General features: G+C 42.9%; 1 long non-coding RNA gene across 1 annotated transcript in view; it reads left to right on the forward strand.

The window, feature by feature from the left end:
* LINC00400 (long intergenic non-protein coding RNA 400) overlaps nt 1-4,785 on the forward strand; it is a 46,302-nt gene extending 41,517 nt beyond the window's left edge. Inside the window, exons 2-3 of the long non-coding RNA NR_047013.1 lie at nt 3,952-4,324; nt 4,614-4,785. This is a non-coding gene — a long non-coding RNA (long intergenic non-protein coding RNA 400). The remainder of the gene's footprint in view (nt 1-3,951; nt 4,325-4,613) is intronic.
* The last annotated feature ends 1,215 nt before the right edge of the window (nt 4,786-6,000 follow it).

A 6,000-nucleotide genomic window follows, 5' to 3' on the forward strand; every position in this document is an offset into this window, starting at 1 on the left:
AGCTTGCAAGGTAGTTAAAGATATCTTCTCAGCCTTGACTCACTAATAAGCACTTTTAAATATATATCAAAAAGCCCTCTTAATTAAAATGCTTCAACTGCTTTCTACCTCTCTTCTGATAAATGCCAATATCATTAACATGGCTGCTCAGAACCCTGCCTGCCTCTCCAGTCTTGCCTGGCCCCAGACTCCTCTTTCCCTTCTGCTACTTCCCCTAAGTTGAATATTTTTCATTCTTCTTTCACCTGCTTATCTCCTACTCATCCTTCTCTTGTCATGTCAATTATCACTTTCTTGAGGAAGCTTTTCCTAACCCACCCCATGTCCCATCCACCTACTTGCCCCTGATCCCCAGGATACGTTAGAGACCTTTGCTTTCACAGAACTGCTACCAAGTCAAGATAGGCTGACATGTGACCATAGCAAGCACCACCAAAACCTCAGGGTGGATGAATGAGGATCCACACTGCTTGAGACACTCAGCTTCCAAGGCCAAGTCCATGAACCTGCCCTCTCCTGGGAGCGCACGGTGTATACATGTATATAGATGTGTATTTATAACCCAATTATTGTAACAAATTATTTATTAGATATAGACATCCATATCTTATCTACATTTCAAGATAGAAGTACTTTGGAAATAGGAAGATACTGTGTCTGTTTCACCTTTGAGTCTCCCACTGTGCCTATAATCTGCACTGACAGACATGAGATGTTCCATAAAGGTCAATTAATTAATGAATGAAATCATGAGCAAATGATTTTTGAAATCATTTTTTCTTACATATTTTTGAGAAATGTAAGCATCTTTGTGTTTTCCCATCAATATTTTTAGAAAGCTTCATTTTTCAACAGCTCTGATTAATAATATAATTGAAAAGCAAAGAAGTCTTTTTAAATATGTACTGTATAAGTCTGTGATACTTTTGATCCCACAGAGAGTCAATTCCATTTAGTTCAATTCAGCAAGTGTTAAGTGCCTATGATGTCAAATGCCTGTAGTGTGGCAACAGAATGCTTCATTTCAGTGGGATAATTTGGGATGAAAAACTTCTAAACACGTTTCAGCTCCTAAGTCTGACTTCAGCAGTCACAAAGCAATTCTCCCATGTTTAGACTATAGCCATTCATTCATTTGTTCAATAAAACTTTATTGGACATCTATTAGATATGATCATGACTGCTCTGGATTAGATCTCTTGAAAACTGTGATACAAAAGAAGAGATTGTGCAAGGTCTTTCCCACTTGGAAAGAAAAGTTAAATAGATAAAGCACCTGAGTAAGAGTAAGCACTGAGTAAAAGACCTGGGTTTAATTTCCCACCTCATTCTGTTGTTAAGTAGTGAAGTGAGCTTAGCAAGTCACTCCATAGCTCTGGGCCTCAATTTGTTATCTGTGTAGTAAGGGCAGTAGACTGGATGATGTCTAAAGAATATTAGAGATTAGAAAGTCATTGTCCTGGATGGCTCACACCAGTCACTGGAGTTGCTTGGCAGGAAGGCATAACAGCATTTTGTACATCTAGAGCTCTGTCCCTCTCATGGGGCAAGTGATGGAAGAATCCAGTGGCAAAGTTAGGTTTAGCAGGAAGTCCTCTCCCAATACCAGGGGTCTGAGTCCCGGTGCCATGCTTTGTTTACCTCTATCACTTGCAAGGATGAAAAAGCATCTCTAGGCCTGGCCCAATGTATGGAATCTAATTCATGGGACTAGATATTTTATTAGCATTTCCAGCTGAATGAGTGATTTGGGGTTGGACAATGTGACAGTGAATAGATGACATATTCCTTAACTAGTGAGTATGAAACTGCATAGAAATAAGATTTCACAATGTTATGATATTAATGTACTTTCTAATATTTTACATGATCCATATGAAGACATATAATTTACAGTTTAGGGTAGATGTACATAGGTAACAAAAATAACTGGAGACTCCTTTTGGAGAAGTCTGCAATTGGATCAATTAGCATACATTCCCTTACAAGTGACTCAAAACCCAACTAGCAAAGACGGAAATTTTAGGAACATTTATTGTTTACCCAGCAAGATGTCTGAAGAGGGTGGTTCCAGGTGTCAGGGCCTGGATTTGTGTCTCTGCCATTTTCTTGCTTTTTCCCAGTCACAAGATAACTAACACAGCTGCAGATATCAAATCCTCACATGACTGATGACTGTAACTACAGAAAGGAAGCAGGGGAGATGAACAGACCTCTCCCTTTGTACCTCTCTCCTAGTATTAGAGAGAAAAACACCTTTCCAGAAGCTTCCCCAGCTGACCTCTCCTCTGTCTCAGCAGCAAAGAAAGTTTGAGAAAGCAGAAATCTGTGGTTTTCAGCCTCTACTTTGGAAGGAAGACAAATTAAAAGCAAGTTGGGGATGTCTGTGGATAGGCTGCCAAAGTGCTTACCAGAATCCATCCCACAGGCCACCCACCATCTGTAGATATCTTTCCTCTCCCACAGCCACTGTGGGTGGAATGCTGTGGCCCATTGTCTGAGAGAGAACTCCACAGGATCATCCAGTTACTGTAGCTAGCACCAAATCTTGCACATCTGGGTGATTTGTAGTCTCCATGCCATCACATCTCGGTGTAGATTCCTACGGTGTAGCAGTTGATAACTAAAAGAAAATGTGTCTGCTTCAAATGCAATGATGCTGAAGTTTAATTTACCTTTCATTAAAACTTGCAATTGGAAAAAAGAATGATAGGAAACACAATCGTCACTGTGGGTTTTTTTCCCCCCACATATCTAGTTTTGTTGATCTAGAATAATGAGGTTGAGAGAGGATTAAACTCCTTGGTTAGCCCATCTGGCAGCCTATAATACTGATCTTTGGGAAAATGTTCCTCATTCATGTCCTCTGTGACCCACCTGAGACATTAGAGAAGACGCTCCCCTTAGAAATTGCACAGCCTTTCCAGCTCACTTCGTTTTAGATCAAGGTTTTGGGATCTTGATATTGTCTTAGGAGTTAAACAGAGCTCAATGGTCATAGCCTGTTGTTGACCAGCCTTAGAGTCTATCTGGTCATGCAATTGCTTCAAAATCTTAGTGGGCTTTCTGATATCTTTGCTTCAAGTCAATTTCTGCAACTAATGTGTCTGTTTGGGTTCTTTAGGAAGCAGAACACTGAGATGGAGTTAGGAGTGTAAGCAATTTATTTTTAGGTGGTGACACTTATGAAAGCTAAAAGTTAAGGAGGCTGGATTGGAAAGGGAGAACCTTCAGACTATGATGTAAATCTCACACCTGTCACAAGAGATGGGGTAGAAGTAGGATTGGGCAGGAGAATCCTCAGACTATGACACAGATCTGGCAGAAGTCTTTGCCAACTCAACAGGGAACTGCAGAGCAAAGACAGCTCATTAAGAGAGCTACACATTGGGCAGAAATAGCCCGGACCTTGGATGCCTACTGTACTTGTCATTATCTAGAAGCTGCTCAGAAACAGTATGATTTCCACTCCAAAGTGGAGCAGGATCCCAAAGGAACTGGCGGCTGTCAGCTAACCACTCTCACTGCAAGTTCTTTCTCGAAGGGAGATCTGATTAGGGCACCTCCATGGTGGCCATGGCCCAGGATCTGGTCTGGCTGCTTCATCTGTCTCCCCTCTTTATAGGCTTAATGGTGGTTGTTCTGAAGCAATTCAGAATAAGAGGTTGGGTGCAGAGGCTCTATTTTGATCAGACCTTTGCCAGCAGACTTGCCTTCTTTGCCTGTCGAAGAATGATGGATGAGGGGAGTTTGGGAACTTGGGAATGTTGTCAGTCTTATTTCTTGTTATGTCTATACTCCCCTGCTTCTGACTCCAGCATGTCTCCAAATTATGAAACTCTCAGTTAATTCAGACCTCACACTACTAACAGAGAACATCTCAGAAGAGTTCCTTCTCTTTCCTCCCTCCTGACAGATTTTCTCTAATCTGTGTTCATCTTCTTCTTGCAGGACTTTGCCAAAAGCTTCAAGAAGTAGCCAACATAACTCAACATCCAAAATGTCTCCTGCCATTTCCCTTAACACTACAGCCTCAGCTGGCACGTGATTGGAATCTCAAGGCATGACAAGCAAGAGTCCAACGCAAATGTCTTGCCGCCACCCAGCAAGTGTTACAGACATCCAGCCTATTCTAGCTGGACCCTCACTGCTCTCTGCCCTGCCACCTCAACTCAGCCATTCTGTATTTTCAGATATTATCTGTGCTGCTCTATTTACTGCAACTAAATTCAAAGGAATGTGTTTGGCTACAAGTAACAGAGGATAGGTCAATAAAAAGGATTTTATTTAGTCTACAAGAAATCTGGACAAAGGTGGTTCCAGGGTAAGTTTAGCACTTCCATGACATCAAGGCACCAGGTTGTTATCTTAGCCAGTCTCTGGCCTTCCCCTCATGGCCACAAGATGGCTGCCACAGCTTCCAGGGTTATCCTCACCTAACAACATCCAAAGGCAGAAAGGAGGGTCACAGAAGAGTGTTATCTTTGCATGCCTCCCTCCTGTGATCAGAGAAGAGAAATCCTTCCCAGAGGCCTACTGGCATAGTTCTGTTATACTGCCTTCAGTTGCAAAGGAAGCTTGTAACATGAATCTCTGGCATTTTCATTCTTTAGAGTGGGAGGAGGACAAAGGCGGAGAGCGATTTGGAGCACAGCCAGACAGCAGCGTTTGCCATGGGATCATGCCTATTGATCTTAGTTTTCCAACCTCCAACTTGGAAATAGATAAACCATCTGTCTTCCCTTCCTGGGGAGTAGCAGGTTATGAATAAATTATGCTGCCAGAGCCCAGAGAGTCCTTAAAACAAAATACTGTCAATCCAAGGCCCTCATTTCATTAAATCCATATTAGTTTCTATTGCTCATTTGATGGCATCTGATTGTTCTCTGGGATGGGAGGTATTGGCAGAACAGGAAAAAGGGAGAAAATTAGCCCAAATCCACCTTCCCCACCACCCTCTTCCCCCAGTGCTGAATAGTCATGAGGTCCCCAGGTACTTGTTATTTCTGGCGAGCTAGTGAGCTGAGTACACAAGTCCATGGCTGGGGGATAGATATATTCCAGAAAACTCTGTGCTGGAGTGCTGGAGAGGGCTGTTGGAGAGAAGACACATTACTGATGGAGCAAATTCAGCCACCATGAGGAAGTTGGGACAGTATTGGGGGGCACTATGCCTTCATTAGCCCCTGAACCTACATCTTATAAAGCTGCTGATCCACCTTTCTGCACACATTATTCTTTTTTTAAAAATTTATTTTAACACCAACGCCACTTGCCAAATAACAGTATTCTTATCTCACAATAATTTTATCTTCCCAATTTCTGTAATCTCAGGATTCTTAAAAGGGTTATGAGAAAATTCCCTTTTGTTTCCAGAAGATGCTGCCTCTGGAAGCAGGCCTGGTTGATGGCTGATTGTAGACTCAGAGGTCTAAACCAGTCAGAGTGCCTTGAAGAATCAAATGCAGCCACGTAATCATTATTGCCATTTCTGGCAGAAGCCCTTTAAATTGGCCCAGCCTTACTATGCCAAAGGGCTGGGGAAGCAAATGCAAACAACTACTTGTTCCTCTGTCCTCATGGACTTTCCTCTCACCATCCCTCTCACAGTTCTTGTTTTGGTCTTCCCTCCTTGGGTCCTCACTGCTTTGCCAACATGTCTCCACTACATCTCTCTGACACCAGTTTCTGCTTGCTCCCTGGTGGCTGGGGGCACACACACAGGCCTCCACTGACCACCCAGGCTTCTAGAGACCTGACTCCTTGGGCCTGCTCAGGTTACTCAAGTTCATCATTACAAGCCAAGAAAAGAGGTTGTAATTGTGGATACTGCCTGGACCTTAGAGGTCCAGCTTAACTTGAACTGGCTTCTTCGGGACTTTCCTGGATCTGGCTTGCAACTTTTCTAGATCAGGGTCAGTTCCTCTGCTACCCTCTCACATTCCTAACATCTGGCTAGTGCTGGTCTGGTTCCCAGAGATGGGAACGATGCATGCCCTC

This window comes from Homo sapiens, chromosome 13 (assembly GCF_000001405.40).
Source record: "Homo sapiens chromosome 13, GRCh38.p14 Primary Assembly".
Taxonomy (NCBI): Eukaryota; Metazoa; Chordata; class Mammalia; order Primates; family Hominidae; genus Homo; species Homo sapiens.